Genomic DNA, 23,368 nt, shown 5'->3' on the forward strand with positions numbered 1-23,368 from the left:
CTGTCATATGTGCCAGCTTTACTGTGTTTTCTCGTAACTTCAGACCACGTGTGCACTTAGTAAACATCGTATTTTTCTTTTAAAAGGGAAAATTCCTGGCCAAGAAAATTTTACGTCACTTTTACAAAATGAAAACCAGTCTGGGATCCAAATCCCAGGTGAGCTGCCATTTACAGAACAGCAGGTCTGTGTTGGGCTCCGTGCAGATATTATTTTGCTTAATTTTCACCACAAATCTCCAAAGCAAGGATTAGTATTCTTCCCTTTTATGCAGATGAGGAAAGTGGGGCTTGGCATTTCCCCAGCCTCAGATCCCCTCTCCTGGAGTTCTACCCTCAGCCCAGGCCTGGCCCCTTGGACGGTCACGCCCCGGCTTGCTGCTGACTGCTCACTTGGATCTGCAGAGCCAGCCCATCCCTGGACAGTTTCCCTGAGCTGCCCACACTGATGGTCTGTGCAATCAACGTGCCCTCACATATGCCCAAACGACTCATGTACTCATTTATTCATGCAGTGTTCACTGTTGGTTCTTATATGACAAGCATTTCTGGCAGGCTCTGGGCCAAGCGCCGTGAACAAAGATAAAGTGGTGCCAGCCCCTGCCTTTGGGGAGCTTATGATCTGAGAGGGAGGTGGATACATGTAGGGGAAGACGAGAGGGCATGTATGGGAGCTTGGGAGAAGCATCTAACCTTGTCCATCCAGAGGGGAGAGTCAGGGAGTCACCAGGGAGCTTTCCAGGGGAGGGGAATTTTGTAGGGGGCGAGGGAGATGCACCCCAGGCAAGTCAAATAGTGCATGGAAAGACAAAGAGAATGAAAGGGGTGCTGCCTGGTTGGGACACCCAATGATGGGCATGTTTCCCATCAAGAGCAGGATGTGGGGAGGGGCAGATCCTGGCCATTACAGCGTTGGGATTTTGCCCTAGAGAAGAGGAGGCCAGAGCCAGGGACCCTGATGAAGGCTGACTCCAGCAGCACCAGGCCCCAGCCTGCACGGCAGTTCGGCTGAGCTCGCCTCCCCAGACGTCCCCACTCCTCAGCAGTCCTGGCCAAGCCTGCAGGGTGCCTCGTGAAAACAGGCAGAGGCAGGCGCAGGAGAGTCTAACATGCTGCCAGCCCCAGTTTTCTGATGGGGCCTCCCAGGCAGCAGGCAGCAGGCAGCAGATCAGGAACCAGCCTCCTGGGGGCTGCTGTCTCCTCAGGGCTCTGTCCTGTGCCTGATGAATGCCCGTTAGACTAGGAGGTGGGGAAACTGAGGTAGCCTGAAATCTCAGAGGCAGGCAGGGCTCCAGAAATCATCGGCAAGTCCGACTCGCTCCTGTTAGATGTAGGAACAGGCCTGGAGAGAGAAGGGAATTGCCCAAGTGCGTACAATGAATTAATGATTTGGTTAACACTATAATTAATAATTTAAAAGTTGACATGTATTGAACATTTACTTATGGCACGCCAGGCACTGGCACATTAAATGCCCCTTAGTGATGTTCTGATTCTATCATTGTCATGACCCTCTGAGGTAGGTGCAATTTAGTATCTCCGTTTGACCCTGGGGAAACTGAGGTTGAGACTCTGGGATCTCACTCTGAGAAGGGGCCCACCCGCCTGCACGGGCCACCCCAGGATGAGGTGTGCAGCTTGGGCAGGGTGGGGAGCCCCAAGCTAAGCAGGCTTCCCACATTCCATCTTGGCTCAGGCCCAGCGACACGAACAGACAGGGAGCACCAGGGGGCCTGTCTGCAAGGATCAAAGCGCTGGGTGGGAGGCTGCAGAGCAGGGCAGGGCGGCGGCTTCTGGGGCACCACAGAGAGCCACCCTGCCTCCCCTGGTCCAAGCCAGGCCCACCCTCTCACTCGGTGCCCCAGCAAAGGTCTGGGAGGATAGTGAGGTGAGGCTGTTGAGCCCCAGCAAGTCTCTTTTAGGGACTCTGCTTGCCCAATGGAAACCTACTGCCCCCAAACTTCTACTTGTCCTCCGGAGCCCCATGCCCAGGCTGGCAGCAAACTGTGGGGCAGTCTAGGAGCATCTGTGAGCAAATGTTGACCTCACCTTGAAGTGCAGGTGCAGAGAACTCAATGCTTGGCCAGACACCTGTGGCCAGAGAGTGTGGCCCTTCCTGGCAGCTCTGGGATGGGAGGCCCTGGTCTCCAGTATTCTCTTGCCCCTGTCCACACCCCACACATCCCATATAATGAATGAGGCTAGGGATCCCAGGCTTTGCAGCAGGAAAAACCCCTCTTCCTCTTCAGATTTCAGGGCCAATGAGGCACACATGCAAAATCGAGGGTCAGAGCTGGGAGGGGCCGAGGGGTTACCCCACACCGTGTGGAAGGAATCCAAAGAACCAAGGGCTCACCAAGGACACACAGACTCCCGATGGTGGAGCCAGGCCTGGAATTCACGTCCTGACTCCCAGCCTGTGCTCTGTCTGTGTCTGAGTTCATTTTCTACAGCTGCCATAGCGAATTACACAAATCTAGTGGCTTTAAATGACACACATTTTTTTAATGTCACTGTCCTACTGATCCGAAGTCCAGCACGAATCTCACCAGAGTAAAATTCAGGTATCAGCAAGTGGAGCTTCATTCCTGGGGGCTCTGGGAGACATCCTGCTTTGTGCTCACTTGGGTTGCAGGCAGAACTCAGTTCCTTGTGGTTACAGTACTGAAGTCCTCATTTTCTTGCTGGCTGTAAAGTGAGAGCAGTTCCCAGCTTTTATTTATTAATGTTATTATTTTGAGAGATAGGTTCTCACTCTGTCATCCAGGCTGGAGTGCAGTGGTGTGATCTCAGCTCACTGCAGCCTCAACCACCTGGGCTCAAGTCATCCTCCCACCTCAGCCTCCTGAGTAGCTGGGACTACAGGCACCCACCACCACACCTGGTTTTTTTTTTTTTTTTTTTTTTTGTGGAGGCAAGTTCTCGCTATGTTGCCCAGGCTGGTCTCAAATTCCTGGGTTCAAGCAATCCACCCACATGGGCCTCCCAAAGTGCTGGGGTTATAGGTGTGAACCACTGTGCCAGTTCTCAGCTTTTAGAAGTCACTGCATTCCCTGGTTCATGGTCCCTTCCTACATCTGCAAAGCCAACAATGGCTGCTAGAGTCCTTCTTAGTCATATTTTCTGACCCACTCTTGGGCCTCTGCTTCTACTTTTAAGGACTGAAGTGATTAGGTTGGGCCTACACAGATAATCCAGGATGCTCTCCCTAGCTCGAGGTCCTTAATTTAACCATATCTGCAAAATGCCTTTTGCCACATAAGGTAACTTAATCACAGGTTCAGGAGATTCAGGCATGGACATCTTTGGGGACCATTATTCTGGGGACCACAATGCCTTGCTCACTTTCAAGAGGACCAAAAACAGAGTTGACTCCCAGCCTCACCAAACAGCTTCACGCAGCTGCACTGGGTGACGAAGCTCGGCACAGGACAGTGGCCACTCCTGGCTCTGCCCACATGGGTCTCCCTGGCCTTCACCAGGCTGCTTGATGTGATTCAGAGAATGATTTTTTCCTATCATGAAAGAAGTATATGAACCTTTTGAAAGTTTAGAAAATACAAAAAAAAAAAAAAGCAAGAAAACATTTTCCAGCCCCCAAAACAACCACTGTTAGCATATTGCTGAATTTCCTTCGAGTCTCTTACTCTATGCATGGGTTGGCTTTTTGAGACTAGAGTTGTAATCACATGTAATCAAGTTGTATTTTGGTGTTTTTTCACATAGCATTGTATCATACCTACCTTGACACATTGAAATAAATTATTTGTAAAACCTTTTAAAATGGCTACCTACTATTCTGTTGTGCAGATGGCTATACTCTAGCTGACTGAATGACTCTCCTGTGGTGGGACCCTTAGGTCTTGCTCTGTTGCCCAGGCTGGAGTGCAGTGGCATGCTCATGGCTCACTCCAGCCTCAAACTCCTGGGTTCAAGCAATCCTCTTGCCTCAGCCCCCTGAGTAGCTGGGACTACAGCTGCATGCCACCACACCTGGCTGATTTTTGCATTCTTTGTAGAGACAGGGTCTCACCATGTTGCCCAGGCTGGTCTTGAACTCCTGGCCTCAAGCAATCCTCCCACCTCAGCCTCCCAAAGTGCTGGGATCACAGGTGTGAGCCGCTGCACCCAGCTGTAAATGATACTTTGATGGACATATTCTTCGTAAAACATTCCCTGGTTTAGGATGCATTTCTTGGAGGTAGGATTGTTGGACCTAAGAGTACGACCCATTTTAAAGTTCTTGTGACTTACTCATCCCAGGTCTTCTGGAACAGTTCCATTTGCAAATGTTCTCCTGGCATCATCCTTCATGCCGTGTCCCAATTTGGGTGATATATCATATGGTCCCCCCACCACAGGCTGCTCTGGAGATTCAAAGGGCCCCTCTCCTCTGTGCCACCGCATTCCAGGATGGGTCTGGAAGGCTCTGGTCACACTTCTAAGACTGCTGGCTGACCCGATATAATGTCTAAACAGCAGGCACTTTGCCAGGCCGATAGCTGGTTGCCCATGAGAGCAGAAGTTGCACCTCAGCCTGCCCACAGCCCCTGCCAAGGCCCAGCTTCTTCATGTATCCCACCAACCTCCAGAGGGCCTCCGTGGGGTGCCAGCACCCACCCTGGTGCTGGGATACAGTGGTGAGCAGCCCAGGGAAGGCACACCGTGGGGGGGCTCAGGAAACCTCATGGCGTGAGTGAATGAAGCAACACGACCACAGGGTGTATGAAGGGAGCCCAGGGTCCTGTTCACGCCCCCATGGAGTTAAGAAGACCCTGATTACAAAGGGCTCCTGGTGGGATGTCAGAGACAGGCTCTAGACGCGGCTCCCAGGTCATGGAGGCATCCGTCTTTTCCAGAACTAGGCAAAAGAGACATGTGAAATGCAAAGACGCGGAAAGAATAGAAGGTTGTCTCAGTTACTTAAAAACTGCAGACCAAGGCAAGAGACCCAGCTCTGCCACATCAGCGAGGAGGTTCTGTAGGGACCAGTTAACAAGAGCAATGAGACTTGCTGACTCTGTCCAAGGAAAATAGTTTTTAATCCAAAAAGTTGAAAATTTCTTTCACATACTTTAGCAGTGTCCTCTGATGTCTTGAAATTTACAATAAAAGCCCCCCCAGTCACTTTTGGCACTTTGGAAATGGGAGCCTGAGAGAAGTAGAGTCCAGGCCTGGCCACGTCCTTAGGGCCAGAAAGGGACGGTTCCAAAGGGCACGTGGAGTACTGACTCTGTACAGTGCATAGCAGCCCTCCAAGTGCGTCCTGCTGGTCCCAGGAGGAGCCCCATGCCAGGCGAGGGCTGGGCAAGGCACTGGCTGAGTAGCTTTGCAGGTAGGCATTCTGGCTCTTTCTACAGGGGCGGGCACTTTTCAGGGCCAGCTGGGCGGTGCTATGCCAAGAGGCAGGCCTGGGGTGACCAGAGCTTTTGAGTTTTTCAGGGGAATAAAGAAATCTGTGTATGTGTTTATTCCTGGTTTTTGAATGTTGTCAAGAAATTAAAAATAGAAGCCAGGCAAGGTGATGTGTGCCTGTAGTCCCAATTACTAGAGAGGTGGGAGGATTGCTTGAGTCCAGGAGTTTGAGGCTGTAGTGAGCTGTGATGATGCCTGCATGCCAGCCTGGGTGACAGAGCAAGACTCTATCTCTAAGAAAGTTTTTTTTAATAAAATACAATTATTCAGTGTTATTCAGGCCAACCAAAACACATCTGTGGGCCAGATTCAGGCTTCAGACAGCCAGCAGCCCGTGAATTGTCCCACCCAACTTGTGGTGTTACGGATGAGGACACCGAGGCCCTGAGGGTGGGGACACATCATCGGAGTGCACAGTGAATTAGCATCAGAGCTCTGGTGAGCCTAGCCCAGGGCTCGCACCCCACTGCCATCTGTCCCTATCAGAGGCACCAAGAGGAGGAGAGGTGGAGCCTGGATGCACCATGTGAAGAGAGACAGGCAGGGGTCTGCAGGGCCTGTCCAACTCTCTGCACAAGGTAGGTCCCTCTCCCTCTGGTTTTTCTGATGAAGAGCTTCAGGTTTGAGTGGGTGAAGTGACCAGATGCTGGTAACCAAAGTGGCCTGCTCAAGATCACTTGTCGGTCTTTCTGTTCCAGTTCGTTCCACTGCTGGCCATGGCTCAGAGTTCCGAGCCATTCTCTTCCAATCAGTGTCAGGGCACTTCCAGTTTGTTACCCTCCTCTTGGAATGCAGCCCTTCCCTGAACACAAGGCCCTGGGGTTGGTCTGATGGGCAGAGAGGAGCAGGCACTTACTCCCCTGGGTTGGGCCTCTGTTTCCCTAGAGAGAGCACACAAACCACAGGTGGCAGGGGAGACGACCTGTAGGTGTCCACAGACAAATGCTTTAAAAGCAGTAGTTTGGCCCTTGGATGTCTGCATGCCTCCTATTTATGGCAAGCATTCTGGCCTTACCTAGAGTTTCCTTTACAAGGAATTGAGTTGACCTAAAGGTTACGAGGAGGCTGGGCTTGGTGGCTCACATCTGTAGTCCCAGCACTTTGGGAGGCTGAGGCGGGCAGATCACTTGAGGTCAGGAGTTCGAGACCAGCCTGGCCAACATGGTGAAATCCCATTTCTACTAAAAATACAAAAATTAGCCTGTGGGCACCTGTAATCTCAGCTACTCAGGAGGTTGAGGCAGGAGACTCTCTTGAACCTGGGAGGCAGAGGTTGCAGTGAGCCGAGATAGTGCCATTGCACTCCAGCCTGGGTGACAAGAGCGAAACTCCGTCTCAAAAATCAAATAAAGTAAATAAATAAATAAATGAATAAACAAAGGTTACCAAGAGCACAGGTGGTCTGCAGTCACGGCAAGCATCATGGAGGTGGCCCACGAAAACATGTTTGGGACGCTGCTCTAAAGTGCAGCCCACCAGCTTTCGTGACAGTGTTTAAAAGTCTGGGTTGAACTGAGGACACTCGGTTTTTTCTCCCCCGACCTGCTACCTGCACAAGCATGGTGTTTAGCCAGAGCTCTCCATTCTTTCCTTATAGAGTGGGTTGCGTGAGGCTCAGAATTTTAGATTTTATTTTGCCAGTTTCTTCTCATTCTTCTAGGGTGATGGGTCTTTATCTTTGCAAATCTTGATTCTACATCCCAAGAATTAAATTCCAGCTTTGTGTCATCCCCATGTATGATCAGCAGCCTTGCTCTGTCTTCATGTAAGTCACTAGCAAAACTGCAGAACAGGGCAGGGCTGAGCAGTCAGGTGACACTCCTGCCTGGCTCCCCGGGGCAGCAATTCCTTGCCCAGACCTCACCCACCTACAGTTGTTGGACTATCTCCAGCTACAAATCCACCAACCGTGTCTCTCCTGCTCCTGCCCGCCCCCCGGGTGAGGGGCTCTGGGTGGGGCTCATACACCATCCGCCATCCGGGACTCGCGTCAGGATCTACCATCAAGCAATCTGGTTATCTGTTCTCAGTCTGCATCTTTGCCTCGTTTGAAGAAGCAGAGAGCATTTCTCCCAGACATTTATTCCATCTTCTGGCCCCTCTCCCAGGCTTCGCACTTCCTAGAGAGTTGTAGGGAGCAATTCTGCATCCCTGCCCACAAGTTTTCATGGTACTCTGGACTGTGATTTATCCGGATGTGAGGAAAAGATATTATTCATCTTGGCTCAATTCTCTGATGACCTTCTCAGCCACGATGAGGCCACTTTCCTCTTACTCCTATTTGTTCAGTCCCCTTGGTGCTGAAGATCATTAGTATTGTTTAGAATGGTGCGACGTCAGAATCGGGTGATTCTCTCTTTCCTCAATGTCTGGCTTAACATTCCTCAGGGAGAACCCACTGGGGGTCATCCAGGAAATGACACAACAAAGATAAACGAGACAATGTTCCTGCCCTTGGGAACCACTGGCCCCAGCACTGCCTCTGTCCCTCTGAACATGCTATAAAAAGATACTGTTCCCTGTCTTTGGAATTTCAAACTGTGGTCATGCCTGTGTATCCAATACTCCTAACAGCCAGGCTGTGAGGAAATGAAGGTTTCTAGACTGGAGTCAGGCGAGATGTAGCAGGGCTGGATGTGTTAAACAAAGCACCGAAGGAAGTGGAAAGCTGCAGTGCCCTGCAGTCAGGACTGAGGGGCTGGTCAGAGTGGAATACCTGTTTACTCACTCAGCTTGCACGGAGAACCTTCTGAGGGGTAAGCACTGTCCTCTAAGCTAGAGACCTCAGCAGAGCTCTTAACAGGATCTTGCTTTCAGAGAGCAAGTGAAGGCAGCACGGTAGGGGTGGGACCTCCACAGGTCAACAACACATTGTCACAGCTGCTGCAAACTCCCTAAAGAGACAGAGTGAGGGACTGCCTCACTTTGTCTGGAGGAGTCAGGGAAAGCATCCCAGAAGAGATGAACATTGAGCAGGGTTTTGAAGACTGCATAGGAACTCTCCAGTAGAAAAGAGGGTGAAGGGCCTTTCAGAGAGAGGCAGCACCAGTTCAAAGGTGTGGGGACAGGGGAATCACAGTGTGCTACATGAGACAGCAGCACAGGACCCCATCCTGAAGTCCCTTGCATGCCTTCTAAAGAATTTAGAACTCCTTATTATATATTATATATAATTATGTAATTATATATATTATATATTATATAATTATATATATAATATATATAATTATATATATATTATATAATTATATATATAATTATATATATATTATATATATATTATATAATATATATAATTATATATAATTATATATATATTTATAATTATATATATAATATATATATAATTATATATATATTATATATTATTATATATTAATCCGGAACTCCTTTTTTAAAATCTGACTCACCCATTTTCATTATTTATTTATTTATATATATTTTTGGAATTAAAAAAAACTTTTATTATTGAAAATTTCAAACAGGTCAGGCACAATACACTGCATGAACCCATCACTCTGAATCAATCATCAACTCATGGCTGATCTTATTTTATCTGTATCTCCACCACTCACTCCATCCAAGATCATCTGGAAGCCAATCCCAGACATTATATAATTTCACTCATAAATATTTCAATATGTATGGCTAGAAGATAAGGACTCTTAAAAAAAAACCACCCAAATATATGACTGTCTTTGTTTTTATGTTGCTGTAGAAGAAAACCTGAGGCTGGGTAATTTACAAGGAAAAGAAGTTCATTTGGCTCATGGTTCTGCAGGCTGTACAAGAAGCATGGCACCAGCATCTGCATCTGGTGAGGGCCTCAAGCTGCTTCCATTTATGGTGGAAGGGAAGATGAGCCAGCGTGGACAGAGATCCCATCCCATGGTGAGAGAGGAAGCAAGAGAGAGATGGGGAAGGTGCCAGGCTCTTGGGAACTAACAGACAACACAGTCATTATCTTCAGGAGGGTTCCAAGCCATTCACAAGGGATCCACCCCCATGACACCCAAACACCTCACACTAGGCCTCACCTCCAACACTGAGGAATGAACTTTTTTCTTTTCTTTTCCTTTCTCTTTCTCTCTTTCTTTCTGTTTTTAATTTTTCCACTGACTTTGTTTTTCCATGGGGATCGAGTTTCAACATGAGAGTTGGAGGGTCAGATATCCACACCATAGCAATGGCAACATCTAAAGAATCAACAATAATTCTTTATTGTCAACAACCCTCCAGTCAGCGAACAAATTGCCCTATTGCCTTATACTTTTTTTTTCTTCAGTTCATTTAGTTTAAATGAGATTCATCAATGCAATTGGTTGTTATGTCTTTTAAATCTCTAAATTTTTAGCTTTGCCTCCAACTGCTTTTTATGCCCTTGAAATTTATTTATTGAGGAGACTGTACTGTGTCTCTGTGGTAGTGTTTAACACGTTCTTCTATCCCCTAAACTTCTACTAAACTGCAGTTAGATTAAAAGTCTCCACAGGATGACCAGAAACAAGTTTGCTTTTTTTTCAACAAGAATACTTCATAGGTGTGCCGTCTCCTTCCATCAGGAGATTCACAGGTCCCTGTTTGGGGGGTACTGGCAGCCCAGATCCATCAAGCCATTAGGAGTTGCAAAATGTCTGATCCTGTCATTCCCTCCTCATTTATTAACTAGAATACTTCTTCTAAAAGAAGAAACTTACCTTTATTAACTATTTGGTTACTCTGAGGTACAGTTAGTATAGGAAAATCAAGACAAACATTTGATTTTTCCACTTTATTTCTTACTTATCAAATCATGATAGCATCCTCTAAGACAACATTATGCAACAGAAATATAATGCCAGCCACATACGTAATTTAAAATTTTCTAGTTGCCTTATGAGAAAATGAAAAACAGCTGAAATTAATTTTAATGATATATTTTTAACCCAGTATTTCCAAAGTACTATCATTCTAACATGTAGTCAACATTAAAAAAATGCAATTTTCCATCTTTTTTTTTTGTATTCAACCTTCAAAATCCAGTGTGTATTTTACACTCAATTCAGATCTTAAATGTTCATCAGAAATAGTTGACTTGCATTCAGATTTCACAAAATTTATAGTGGAAAATGTAAAGTCACATACCCAGGTTGTTCCAAACACACTTAAAAGATTTTCTTTTACATCTAAAATTTTAAATATGGTTCTTCAGCTGGGCTAGCCACATTTGAAGGGCTCCGTAGTCATGCATGGCTAGTGGGTAATGAAAAGCACAGGTCCAAGGAAACCACTGAGATGAACTTTTTTCCAAGTGGCTTTCTATGTGCATGGATCTAAAGATATGTGATGTGTACAATCCATTGGCAAACTCACGTGTCCCACATTTGGTCAGGGAAGCCTTTTTAATTGGCCCTGAGTCCTCTGACACAACTCTAGTTGTCTTTGATAGCTGCCTTCCTTTCTGGTATGACAATATCAGGTTTTGTCTTAGTCACCTCGGGCTGCTGTAACAAAAAACCACAGGATGGTGGCTTAAACAACAGAAATTTATTTCTCACCATTCTAGAGGCTGGGAAGTGCAAGATCCAGGTACTAGCAGATGTGGTTCCTGCTGAGGTCCCCTCCCTGGCTTGTACACAGCTGCCTTCTTGCTGTGTGCACACATGGACTTTCCTTGGTGCTTATGCATGGAGAGAGATGGAGAGGGGGAGCAGGGAGAGAGAGAGGGAGAGAGAAAATCTCTTGGTTTTCTAGTAAGGGCACTAATCCCATCGTGAATCCCTCATCTAAACCCAATTACCTCTCAAAAGCTCCATTACCAAATACTGTCACATTGGTAATGGACACAGACATGGGTACATAGCAGGCTCCTCTTGGGCATTTTCTTCCCAAACCTAGAATCAATCATTTCTCCAAGGAGTTCTGGTTCTTTATAGTGAGAAATGGTATTTAGAAACCAAATCTAGACTCTCAGGGTGCTCACTGCTATTGGGTTGATCATTGTTTTTAAGACTTTTCAGTGGACAGGGCTAAGAAACATAATTTTAAAAAAAGATAAAATACTCATGAGTTCATAATGATGTTTCCAATTCAAATTTAGAACCATAGAGTTTAACTTTATTAATTTTACTTCTCTTTCTCCTCTCTCCCATGCTGAACAATTCTAATTATCCATCATACTAACATAATTACTAATTTGCATGATTTCATACTATATATTCATTATCTGAGAACAATATCAACACTCTACCAACAATATAATTACTGAAAACAGTTTGTTTTCCACATAACCAGTTCCTTTTGTCCTAAAAGCATATCCACAGTCATGTGCAGTCAAATTAGTACGTTTGATAGTCACATAGAATTTTTGTCCCTTTGTATCTACTAACTAGACACATATTTATGCTCATTTGTTTCATTTTACTTTCACTTTTGGGGATTACTTTTTAAAAAATAATTACATTATTTTTATAAAATAAAAAAATATATCCTTTATACTACAAAAAATAAAATTTTAATATTATAATCATGTAAATTCTTTTCATGTTTCTGAAGTCAAGTCTAAAAACCCAAGATATATTCAAAGAAGTCTAGCTTCCATTTCTGTTCCTTCCATTTTATTCCCTCACTGCCCCCATAGATAATTTTAAAACATTCTATGGTTTATCTACTTAAGAATATAAACAAATCCTGTGTGTATAAACAGTAGTATATGGCCAGGCACAGTGGCTCATACCTGTAATCCCAGTACCTTAGGAGGGCAAGGTAGGAGGACTGCTTGAGGCCAGGAATTTGAGACCAGCCTGGGTAACAAAGAGAGACCTCATCTCTACAAAAAATTTAAAAATTAGCCGGGCATGGTGACATGCCTATAGCCCTAGCTACTCAGGAGGCTGAGGTGGGAAGATTGCTTGAGCCCAGGAAGTCAATGCTACAGTGAGCCATGACTGCACCACTGCACTCCAGCCTGGGCCACACAGCAAGGCCCCATTTTTTAAAAAAGCACTAATATACTATATATTTTACCCCACCTTACTTCTTTCACAATACATATAAAGGTATTTTCTCTTTTCTTTTTACAGCTGTATAATATTCCAGTGTGAAGATATACTATACTATAACTATATAACACCTATAGTTCAATCTATCTTCACATGGAGATATTTGGGTTGCTTCTAGTTTTTTGATATTATGAATACGGCTGCTATTAATAGTCGTCTCTGTATGACTTTTTGAATTGTGTTTGAGATAGATACCTAGAAATGAGTAGGTCAAAAGAGTAAATGCCTAAGTGATTTTACTAGACTTGCCAAATTTCTCTTGATAGGGGTTCTCATACATTGCATTTCCACCAGCAGTGTATGAGAATTCCTGTTTCCCTACAGCCTCACCAACAGAGTATGTAGTGAAGCTTTCGGGTTTTCTTTCTTTCTTTTTTTTTTTGAGATGGAGTTTTGCTCTTGTTGCCCAGGCTGGAGTGCAATGGTGTGATCTTGGCTCACCGCAACCTCTACCTCCTAGGTTTAAGCGATTCTCCTGCCTCAGCTTCTCGAGTAGTTGGGATTACAGGCACCCATTACCACGCCCAGCTAATTTTTGTATTTTTAGCAGAGATGGGGTTTCACCATGTTGGCCAGGCCAGTCTTGAACTCCTGACCTCAAATGGTCTGCCCGCCTTGGCCTCCCAAAGTGCTGGGATTATAGGCATGAGCCACCGTGCCCGGCTGGGGTTTTCTGCATTTAATATGTGAGAAATAGTATTTTGGTCTAACTTTAATTTGTATTCCTCTTATGAGAGAGTGAGCATCTCTTCACATACAGAAGAGCCATTTGTAGGTCTTTTTCTGAGAACTGACATCTTGTATAACGTTGTTACATTTTTCTGTATTTTTAGAAGTTTTTTTTTAAATACATAAGTTATAGTAACTTTTCTCTGTAATAAGTTACATATAGTTTTACTAGTTTGTCATTTGACTTTTTACTTTTTTAGTATTTTTAGTATTTCCCATGAAGGTGTTCACATTTTTTTTTAAATGTAATCTAACATTAGTATTTTTCTTTTTATTTCTAGATTTTGAGTCATAGCTAGGAAAATTTTCCCCATTCGCAGGTTCTAGTAGAATTTACTCATGCTTTCTTCTAGTATTTGCACAGTTTAATTTTCTTTCATCTAAATAATGATTACATCTGGAATTTATACTGGCGTACAACGTGATCTAAGTTTGACTTATGCAGGTGTACAGTGTGATGCAAGTTGTGTGTGTGCATCAGAGTTTTCATTTCCATTTTGTTATCTGGTTATCCCAATACAGCTTACTAAAAAGCACGTCTTTCACTCACTCATTCAGGATGCTGCCTTCATCAAAATGGAAATTTCCATACACAATTAAGTCTGTTTTTGAATTTTGTGTTCCATTTCATTGGTCTTTTTATTCATTCATCATTACCAAGCTGTTTAACTATGGAGGCTTTATAACATGTCTTAAGGTCTGGTAGGGCTGATAGGGTTCTCCCCTCCCTCCAAGTTGCTTCTCTTTTGAGGATTTTTCCTGGATATTCTTCCTTTTTTCTTCATCCCAATGAACTTCAAAATTAAGTTATCTAGCCTACTCCTCCCCTCCAAGAAAAGATGGTATTTTTATTTTTTGGATTGCAATCATTTATATATTAATCTAGGGAGAACTAACTCCTTTATGATGCTGAATCTGCCTAAATAAGAATATATTTCTTTACAGTTGTTCAAGTCTACTTTTATGTGTTTCAGTAGTGTGTTATCGTTTTTCTCATATAGGTTTTGGACTTCTTTTTAACGAGTCTAGTTAGTTTACACTTTCATTTCCTTTACTATCATAATTGGGATCTTCTGTTTTATCTTCGATTGGTTTTACTTATTAATATAAAAACCTTTGATTTATACGTTAATTTTCAGGGAGAAAACTTGCTATCCAATACACTCACGTGGGCTAGCCTTAGCTGTGGACCAACTTCTGCCTTTGTGAACCAATTTTCTGCCTCTACTTTGCTATCTGGGACTCTTCCAGCTCTCTCTCTCCTTCCACTTATTCAAAAGACAGTGAGAACTTGCCTCTCCCCAGTTGATTACTGGCGGAACAAAGCTCACCAAGTAACACAGACACAAAGCAAACCTCTGACACTGAACATTTAAAGACAAGTTGAAATGCTGATAAAATAATGAATAACAGAGGAGGTGCTGAAGGAGAAAAATGATCTATATACATTTGGGGGAGGTTCGGATTGAAATGCACTTTAATGAAGTGCATTTCAAGTGACTTCCACGTTATCTTCCTTCTGCTGGAGACGAGTGGAGAGGATGGAACCCAAGTGGGAGTATTAGAAACCGGCCATCTCCCACGCTGCCTCTTCATTGCCCCCTCCTAAGAGAGGTGACTCACTTACATGCAATTTGATACACTGCAAATGGGCAGGGAGTGGCTATCCTTAGATCCATGTGGAGGCCAGTCTAGTACCTTATAACTATTCCATCATGTTTTCATTAGATGTTTTGAATTATTCCTTTTTAAATTGTCTTGAAGTAGTATCTGTCATTATCATGTGGTAGTGAGGACTGTTGATATTTCTTAGAATCATTAGTGGCTGTGAGAGGATGCTATCTTTTTCAATTTTGTTAAGAAACCCATTGTATCTTGAGAACAGTTCTTGGGAACTGGATCTCTGAGCCCTGCTGATTTTGCTGCCTCCCCACCCCAGGACGGCTGCAGCAGTGTCCTCTGGCCCACTTCCCTAGTCCCTCCCACTTATAATCTACCCTCATGGCCCTTCACTCTGGGCTGACAGAGGGGCCTGTGAGAGTATTACCCAGCCAGGGGACTACAGGGTAGAGGACAGGCAAGGACCATAGCTCATTGATCTTTTTATTTATTTATTTATCTTTTTGAGACAGAGTTTCACTCTTGTTGCCCAGGCTGGAGTGCAATGGTGTGATCTCAGCTCACCGCAACTTCCGCCTCCCAGGTCCCGGTTCAAGCAGTTCTCCTACCTCAGCCTCCTGAGTAGCTGGGATTACAGGCACGCGCCACCATACCCAGCTAATTTTTGTATTTTTAGTAGAGACGGGGTTTCACCATGTTGGCCAGGCTGGTCTCGAACTCCTGACCTCGTGATCCACCCGCCTCAGGCCTCCCAAAGTGCTGGGATTACAGGCGTGAGCCACCCCGCCCAGCTGATCTTTTTATTTCTAAAGTGCAAAGCACATAGTAGGAGCTCAACACAGATGATTAAGTGAATGAATGAATGAATGCATGGATGCGTGCATGAGTTCATTAGCCAAAGAGTTTTGGCACATCTGCACTTGACTCTCTCCCAGCTGTGTCCTCCAGGGCAATCCTGAAGAGGAAAGAGGTTTTGCCAGTTGCTTCTGTGGTTGGCGGGGTGGGCACGGGGGGGGGGGTCCCTAACATCTTCCAAGTTTGTACAACCCCTTGTGTGCATCTCTACATTGCTTTATTCCACAAAGTTGTCTGGGAGAGGGTTGAAAATTCAGGTTGCAAATGAGAAATGCTTGCTGGTGTTTGGCCCGCCTGGCATCCTCCCTTTGTGTAACTGTCCCTGTAGTAGTGCCCCCACAGGTAGCATCCTCACTTTTCTTACTCCTTTAGAAGTCCACTCTTTGGAAAAGGTCTGTAAATTTCCTCACAGTGGTTAAGTAGTATCACCCGAAAGGTTCTGGATTGCCCCTCTCAGATGTACTCGCATTGTGATAACAGACATAGCCTGAGACTAGTGGCTCCCTCTGCAGAGTCTATGGGAGGTGGAGTGGAGGGTGAGGCTGAGGGCCATCTCAGGAGCCCTGAAAGGACAGCAGATGGACAGGATCCACGCTTGGGACTGGTCCGTATTTGTTGTATGGACACCCTCCCTGCCACTCCTCTCTGGCTACTGAGTGGCTGTTTAGTCCACCCTATCCAGGTGGGAACTGGCTACCCAGCCCACTCCTCAGTGCACCGTTTTGTGTCCTTTAATCACGGCCAAATCTATGTATCTCTTGAGAGTGTAGGCTCCTTAAGGGTAGGGATTGGGTCTCTTGATTCTTTCTAGAACTCCTAAGTGCTTGCTATGAGGCTGCCATAGTCGAATGTTCATGTCCCCATGGACATGGGGGCATGTCCAGGGAATTCATACATTGAAACAATCCCCAATGCAATGATATTAAGAGGTGGGGCCTTTAGGAGGTGATTAGCTCATGAGGGCAGAGCCTTCATGTATAGGATTAGTATCCTCACAAAAGAAGGTGCTTGTTCACCCCTTCCTCCATGTGAGGACTCAGCAAGAAGGTGCTATCTATGAAGCAGGGCACTCCCTCACCAGACCACTGAATCTGCTGGTGCCTTGATCTTGGACTTTCCAGACTCCAGAACTGTGAGTAGTAAATTTCTGTCATTTATAAATTACCCAGTCTAGGGTGTTTTGTTATAGCAGCCTGAGTGGATGAAGACACAGGCTTTGTAGCCTAACCATGAAGCAGTACACCTATCTCAGAGCCTATCTAGTCTTCCACGGGTCTCCAGTTAGCCATGTGTAGCAGACTGTGTTTTCCAAAAACAGCCACAGCAACCTTTCTGCTCCCAGGTGCTTTTTCAGAATCATGCCACTCCCCCTCAAGAGATGGAGTCTAGCCTGGTGTGGTGGCTCATGCCTGTAATCCCAGCACTTTGGGAGGCCGAGGCAGGTGGATCACTTGAGGTCAGGAGTTTGAGACTAGCCTGGCCAACATAGTGAAACCCCATCTCTACTAAAAAATACAAAAATTAGCCAGGTGTAGTGGTGCGTGCCTGTAATCCCAGCTACTTGGGAGGCTGAGGCAGGAGAATCCTTTGAACCCTGGTGGCAGAGGTTGCAGTGAGCAGAGATGGCGCCACTGCACTCCAGCCTGGGCAACAGAGCAAGACTCGTCTGAAAAAAAAAAAAAGAAGAGAGATGGAGTCTATTTTCCCTCCCCTTAACCGAGGCAGATCTCTGTGTCTGCCCTGAAGAATAGAGTGCACTGACGTGATACGGTGTGCCTGCCGAGGTTTCATAGAAGACCAAAGGCCTTCTCCCTGGCTGGTTCTTGTTAAGCTCGCCCTGCATATTAGTTACCACCGTGCTATGAGGGACCCCAACTAGCCTGAGTAAAGAGACCACATGAAGAGGTGCATGGAAAGGAACTGAGGCCCCCCACCAGCCAACAGTCAGCACAGACCGCCAGGCAGCGGAGCCAGAGTCTTCAGAGGATCCCAGCCTCAGCCCTGAAGCTTTCCAGTGGAGGCCTGACACTGTGGAGCAGAGACAAACTGCCCCTGTTATACCTCGTTCAAAATCCTGATGTGCAGAAGCCACGAACATAAGAAATGGTTGTTTCCTTCCGTTGAGTTTGCGGGTGATTTGTTCTATGACTAGTCACTAGAATACGGGGAAATAATGAACAAGCTGCTTCCTTTTGGGCCTGGTTTTTCTCGTCATTCAGGCCCATTTCACAGAAAGGGAGAAGGAAGAACTGGAACACTCCACTTCCCCTTCTCCTAGTCCACCCTCCCTCATTCCTCATTCCTTCTTATCAGTGCAACCTCATCTCCCCAGGAAAGCGTTCTCCTTCTCTGTACCACTCCCCTCCCCAAGCTCACCTCCCAGCTTGCTCAGGTCTCCAATCACCGGCTCCCACAGCACGGTGGATTTTCCTTTACCCAGTTTGTGATTATATGTTTGTTTGTGGTTATTAATGAAACATAAGCTCCCTAAGGGGAAAGATCTTGTAGGTGTTGCTCACTGTGGTGTCGAGCCACTTAGCACAGTGCCTGGTACTGATTGAATGAACCAGACTGGCCAAAGGTCATACACTTAGTACCAGATCTGGGACTAGGACCTGGTGTCCCAGCGCTCAGTCGAAGGCTTCCCTGGCCACACCAGTTTGCCTCCACTCCAAACCTTCTGCTGCTTTTTTCAGCGCCCAAACTTCTGACCATCTAGAGATTCAGGCACGGTGTCTACAGAGTTCTCCTCCAACCAAAAAACATTCTGTCTTCATCTCGACAGCCATCTTCTTGCCAAAATAAGCCGGGAAAGGTTATGTGAGTGCCTGGAGTCCAGCAGGAGTTGAGCTGGTCTGAGAAGAAAAACAGAGAAGAAGGAAATATCCTAAAACATTGATTTGTTTAAACTTCTTCACAAACTTTACAACACAAGGAAATCAACAGAGACAAGCTCATAATGAAGTAATCAGCCAACGCGGCTAATATTCCAGCAATGAGAAATGATTCCCTACATGTCATGGGGCAGATATGAATAGGGTCATTAAAATATGGCCAAGGAGGGGAGGGAGAGTTTACTTTTTCTGTCTCCTTAGAGTCTGTGTTCTGAAAGCTCAGCAGGAATTTAAACAAATAGCACGGAGGAATGGTGAATCTGATCATCTTTAAAGAAAAAGCCCCTTTCAAACTTCTCTTTAAATCATTGGCTTATGCAAGTTTCGCTTTTTAAAAATGCTGCCGACCTTTTCCCCCCAAACAAAATTAGCATCAAATTGTTCTAATATTTTTCTGCATATTTTTTTCTCTAGGTCAAGAAGAAATTGTTGCTCCATCATATAAGTGAATGTCAGGAGGAGGAAGGAGGATCTTAAGGAATGAAGTTCTAATGCATCCTCTTTGATTAAAAAGTAAAAGAATAAAGTTAGCAGAGGATAAAAGGTATATGGAGAGAGCCACCCACAAAAAGGGTTGCACCGGTGAAATGGGCCTGTGTAGGTCACATCCCCTCAGGGAGGGTAGCATTGGGTCCCTTGCATTTCAAATAAAATGCAATTTTAGGAACAGGGGCTGAAGGGAGAGACACTTCCACCCACCTCAACAGGGCAATTTTTTAAAAATTTAATTTAATTAATTTATTTTTTTGAGACAGAGTCTCGCTCCATCACCCAGGCTGGAGTGCAGTGGCGCCATCATGGCTCACTGCAACCTCCATCTCCCAAGGGGTTTGAGAGATTCTCCAGCCTCAGTCTCCCAAGTAGCCGGGATTACAGGCGCGCGCTACTATCCCTGGCTAATTTTTTGTATTTTTAGTAGAGACGGGGTTTCACCATGTTGGCCAGGCTGGTCTTGAACTCCTGACCTCAGGTGATCCCCGTGCCTCGGCCTCCCAAAGTGCTAGGATTACAAGCGTGAGCCACCGCGCCCGGCCCAACAGGGCAAATTTAACTGAACTTACAGTACAACCACCCGAAGCTCTGGGAGGATGGCAGAGTGCTCTGACCTTAGACTAGTTACTTAACTTTTTAAAGCATCAGACTTCCCACCTGTAAAAACACGAGAAGAGAACCTTCCTTACAGAGCTGTGAAAGTCCAATAATACAAAGAAAATATAACATCACCTGGCACTTGGTAGAGTGTTCTACAAACGTTAGGAAGAATAAAACCAGAAATTCCCCCCAAGACCCTCTTCGGGTGAGGCCCAGGGGCCCTGGAGAGGGTGGCAGGCCCGGGGGTGTGGGGAGGACACTTTAGCCAGCTGCCCCCAATTCTCCTCCAAGCCTGGCGGCCCAGTTCCGGGCTGTGGTGTGGCTTGAGGGCCCAGGGCTCCTCACTGAGCTTGCTTAAGCAAGTTCTTTCACACACAGCCCCATATACACTTTGGCTAGAAAATTCAATGAGGAGTTTTTTCTTCCTTCTTTCTCTGTTGTTGTTGGGTTCTGATTACTTCCATCTGGCTTCAGCGGCTCGAGTGGAGTCTCTAAAACACACAACACAACAAAACAAAAACCCACCCTGCAAGCCACATGCACCAAACCTAGAAGGCTGCTTCGTTTCTCGCCAGCGTGTGCTCAGATGGCGACGAGGGCTAGCGGCGGCGGGGGACGCCTCAGGACCCCCGGCACCTGCGCTCGCTGCCCGCGGGAAGAGGGTCCGCGTGGACCCAGCCCCCGCGTCCCTTCTCTGGCGTCCCCGGCTTCCGCGCGGGCGTCCAGAGAAGCGGGCGCCCTGGGAACAGCGACCCAGGCATCTCCCCGAGGAGGGAAGTGGGAGGTGGGGAGGGCGGGGGGATTTCAGAGATTGAAAACAGAGCAGCCCTTGCCCCTCAGCTCCGGAGCTCATCTGACTTGAGTTAGCGACACCCCCAACCCCCCCCCCCACACCTAGTCGTCTAAAAAAAGTGTCGGAGATTGGCGCGTCCTTTGGTTCCTTTCTCGAACTTTCCTTGTAGGTGCGTTTTCTTTCCTTGGTGCTGGGTGGGGAGAGTCCCTGTGCTCCCCCTTTCCCCTCCCCCCGCCCCGGCGGCGTTCGGGTCCCCCTGCGTCCCCCGGCAGGGAGCGGGCGGGCTGGCTGGCGGGTTCTTGGGGCCCGGGTGTGCCCGCACCGTGCGCGCGGGGGCGCTGCGCAGTCCGGCGGCGCTGATGGATTGCAGAAGTGCCGGCGCTTGCCAGCCGAGGCAGCACGGCTCCGCGGACTTTTTTTCAAACTCCCATCAATGAGACTTCGAGGAGGAGCGGGCGGCGGCGGCGGCTGCGACTGCGAACGCGGAGGAAGGCCAGGAGCCGCAGGAGGAGCCGGAGGAAAGAGCTTGGGCCGCGCGGCGCGCCGCAGCCTCGGGGAGCCGCCTGCTCGCCGGCGGTAGGGGCTGCGCGGCGCCCGCCCGCCTCTCGGTCCCCTCTCTTGCCTGGCCCGCCCCGCCCCGGCTGGCTGGAGCCCCGGCACAAGGCAGCCAGCCGAGGGTCGCCGCGCCAGCCAAGGTGGGATGGGGGCCCACAGCCACCGCCCGGCGCCCGAGAGGCCACCTGCGTGCTAGAGGCAAACTTTTGTCTCTCTCGGTAAAGTTGCATTGGCCTTCTTTTGCTTGCTTTTCGTGACGAAGCGCCTCCCACCTCGGCCAAGCGCGGGCCGACTGGGATGCTGCGCCGTCTCGGGGGGTCCCTCGGCCGGGTACCGGCGCCTAGGCCTTGGGATCGGGGCCCTGGGCTTCGGGGGACTAGAGGCTAGTAGGCGCGACCCCGCCTGGGGCTCTGGACGAGCAGGGCGGGGACGTAAGGAGAGTCCTGGGGCTTGGAGCTCGTGGCCAGAGGTCGATGTTGCACCCTCTCCCTACCTGGGGGAGAGCACCACTCTTCTCGGGGTGCACAGCGAGCCGGCCTCCGCGCGCCGGCGGGGGTCTGTTTTTTCAGGGGGTGGAGGGTGGGATCGGAGGCTGGGATGCTCCGAAGCTGCCGTAGGTGGGCATGGGAGCGTGTCTGCGGGCGTACTGAGCGCGGAGGGGCTGCAGCCAGCCACTTGAGAACTTCGAACTCCACTTCTCCGCGCTGCGCGTCCCGGAGCCCTGCCTTTCTTTCTTCCTTCCTCAATCCTTCCTCCCCCTCGCCCGGCCCGGCCGCCCCCTCCCCCTCTGCTGGGCTCTCCTCCTCGGCCCCCCCTCTTTGCCTCTCTTCTCCTCCTCTCCTGCCCTCGGCCCTGAGATCCGCTTGACTTCCCAAAGGGATCCGCACGTAATCCTTTGCCGGGTCCTCCGGTTCCCCCTTCCACCTCACTTTCATCCCTGCCCCCCTACTCATCGTCTCTCCCCACCCCCGACAATCTCTCAACAAGTATATTTGCTGAGGAATTTGAAAAATCCACTACTGCAACTTGATCTGTATGTGATGGATGGGGAGAGGCGCGGAGAGAGTTGGGCGCCAATCCTATTAAGGGTTTAGAGAGGGGAGTCTTTTCCCCGGACGGGGCGGGGGCGGGGAGCTGGGAGGGAGCGTGTGCTTGCGTGTGTGAGTGTGAGCGCGCCCGCCGCGCTGGAGAGCTGGGAGTCCACCCAGCTCGGCGCCTTTTCAGCCCGGCGGTAACTGCTGTCATTTCCTAGGAAACCCGACTTTTACCGCGCGGGGAGCTGGGGATGGAGCCCGTGCGCCTCACCCTGGGTGATCGGTCGCTGAGGCTCTCGGGGACCTCGAGCCCCCCCGAGGGTGCCTCTTTCCACTACCTTCTCTTTTGTGTAATTGTTCTGTGGCTCCTAGAGTTGATCCCAGCTGGAAAAGTAGACCTGTCCCTACTGTCTGGTCCCGCGCCCTGGGAGTCTTGTAGGCGTCCCTCTGTCCCCCAGCCCGGGCATCCCGCTCGGTGCGCGACCTCTGGCACGGGCTTTGCAGCTCGGTGGCCGCAGCGGTGTCCCGGGCCCCCTCTCCGCCGCTCTTGCCGGGCGTGTGAAGGTTTAATCCCGACAGCTTCAGATAAAGGGAGCAGTTGTAAAACGCTCATAGGCTGTTTGCAGACGAGGCTCTGGGGGATGTAGGAGAATTTGAAAGTAAACGTTTCCCTCGCAAGCAGCATAAAATAGTGTTTAAACAAATATTGTATTGGCATGCTCAGGGGGCTCGGTGCCAAAAAGTAAAGTAAATAAACTGTGAAATCCAAAATATACAGCGGGGAAAGCGGAGGAATAGGCGGGTTTGTCACAGGCCTCCCTGATGAGACCAGTTTGTTCCAGCCACCTCACCTGCCAGCTTTCTCTCCGCCCATTTCCTTACCTTGCTGGGAGTTCCCTTGGCTGGGTTTCCCTGTGTCTGGGGACAGGCCCTCCCTGGGGCCTGGGAACGGCTTTGCAGTTGCTTGTTTAGGGGGAAGCTCACGGTGTGGCTACCTGGGCCTGACTCCACAGGGACGGGGGGCACCTTGGCTATGCCTGGCTGCTTTGAGTTTGGAGGCTCTTTATTTAGGCTTTTCCCAGCTTCTGGTCTGTCCTGGGGCAGTCATTCTAGAATGTGGAATCCAGATCCATCAGGGGCCTTCTCTTCTTTTTGACTATGCTTCTTGTGCCTCTTTCTTCATCGTTCTTGCTTTTGTTTTCCTAGACTTGCTGCTTCTCTCTTGAGGGTTACAGGAAATTGTGGAGATGTTTTTCCCTGGGATTCGAATTCCACTCAAGCCCAGCCATATGGAAAGTTGTCGCTTGTCTGATGAGTTTTAAAGTTAATTATATTTGGTAAG

General features: G+C 47.9%; 1 protein-coding gene and 2 long non-coding RNA genes across 5 annotated transcripts in view, besides 4 other annotated features; 2 read left to right on the top strand and 1 right to left on the bottom strand.

Moving 5' to 3' along the window:
* Positions 1 to 7,943: 7,943 nt before the first annotated feature.
* LOC124906073 (uncharacterized) lies at positions 7,944 to 19,775 on the top strand. Its single transcript, XR_007087219.1, has 3 exons — positions 7,944 to 8,170; positions 9,133 to 9,305; positions 18,967 to 19,775. It is a non-coding gene; the product is annotated as an uncharacterized LOC124906073 (long non-coding RNA).
* On the bottom strand, positions 15,266 to 22,586 carry LOC124907881 (uncharacterized). The gene is made up of 2 exons (XR_007087221.1): positions 21,486 to 22,586; positions 15,266 to 18,513 (listed from the first exon to the last, which is right to left on the bottom strand). It is a non-coding gene; the product is annotated as an uncharacterized LOC124907881 (long non-coding RNA).
* Positions 19,422 to 20,069: an enhancer, noted in NCBI's record as "H3K4me1 hESC enhancer chr2:121492073-121492720 (GRCh37/hg19 assembly coordinates)". NCBI's record gives its function as "activates a minimal SCP1, AML or CMV promoter by ChIP-STARR-seq in naive H9 embryonic stem cells {active_cell/tissue: H9 hESC(naive)}" and the evidence as "EXISTENCE:reporter gene assay evidence [ECO:0000049][PMID:30033119]".
* Positions 20,709 to 20,878: an enhancer, noted in NCBI's record as "experimental_52581 CRE fragment used in MPRA reporter constructs". NCBI's record gives its function as "activates a minimal promoter by MPRAs in K562 erythroleukemia cells, with activity observed for both the introgressed and non-introgressed 2:121493445 variant alleles {active_cell/tissue: K562}" and the evidence as "EXISTENCE:reporter gene assay evidence [ECO:0000049][PMID:34662402]".
* GLI2 (GLI family zinc finger 2) overlaps positions 20,793 to 23,368 on the top strand; it is a 256,786-nt gene continuing 254,210 nt past the window's right edge. For all 3 annotated transcript variants that reach the window (NM_001371271.1, NM_001374353.1, NM_001374354.1), the window contains exon 1: positions 20,793 to 21,210. The gene's annotated coding sequence lies outside the window, so the exon portion shown is untranslated. The remainder of the gene's footprint in view (positions 21,211 to 23,368) is intronic.
* Positions 21,997 to 22,497: an enhancer, noted in NCBI's record as "H3K27ac hESC enhancer chr2:121494648-121495148 (GRCh37/hg19 assembly coordinates)". NCBI's record gives its function as "activates a minimal SCP1, AML or CMV promoter by ChIP-STARR-seq in primed H9 embryonic stem cells {active_cell/tissue: H9 hESC(primed)}" and the evidence as "EXISTENCE:reporter gene assay evidence [ECO:0000049][PMID:30033119]".
* Positions 22,498 to 22,998: an enhancer, noted in NCBI's record as "H3K27ac hESC enhancer chr2:121495149-121495649 (GRCh37/hg19 assembly coordinates)". NCBI's record gives its function as "activates a minimal SCP1, AML or CMV promoter by ChIP-STARR-seq in primed H9 embryonic stem cells {active_cell/tissue: H9 hESC(primed)}" and the evidence as "EXISTENCE:reporter gene assay evidence [ECO:0000049][PMID:30033119]".

The sequence above is a fragment of the Homo sapiens genome, chromosome 2, assembly GCF_000001405.40.
Source record: "Homo sapiens chromosome 2, GRCh38.p14 Primary Assembly".
Lineage (NCBI taxonomy): Eukaryota > Metazoa > Chordata > Mammalia > Primates > Hominidae > Homo > Homo sapiens.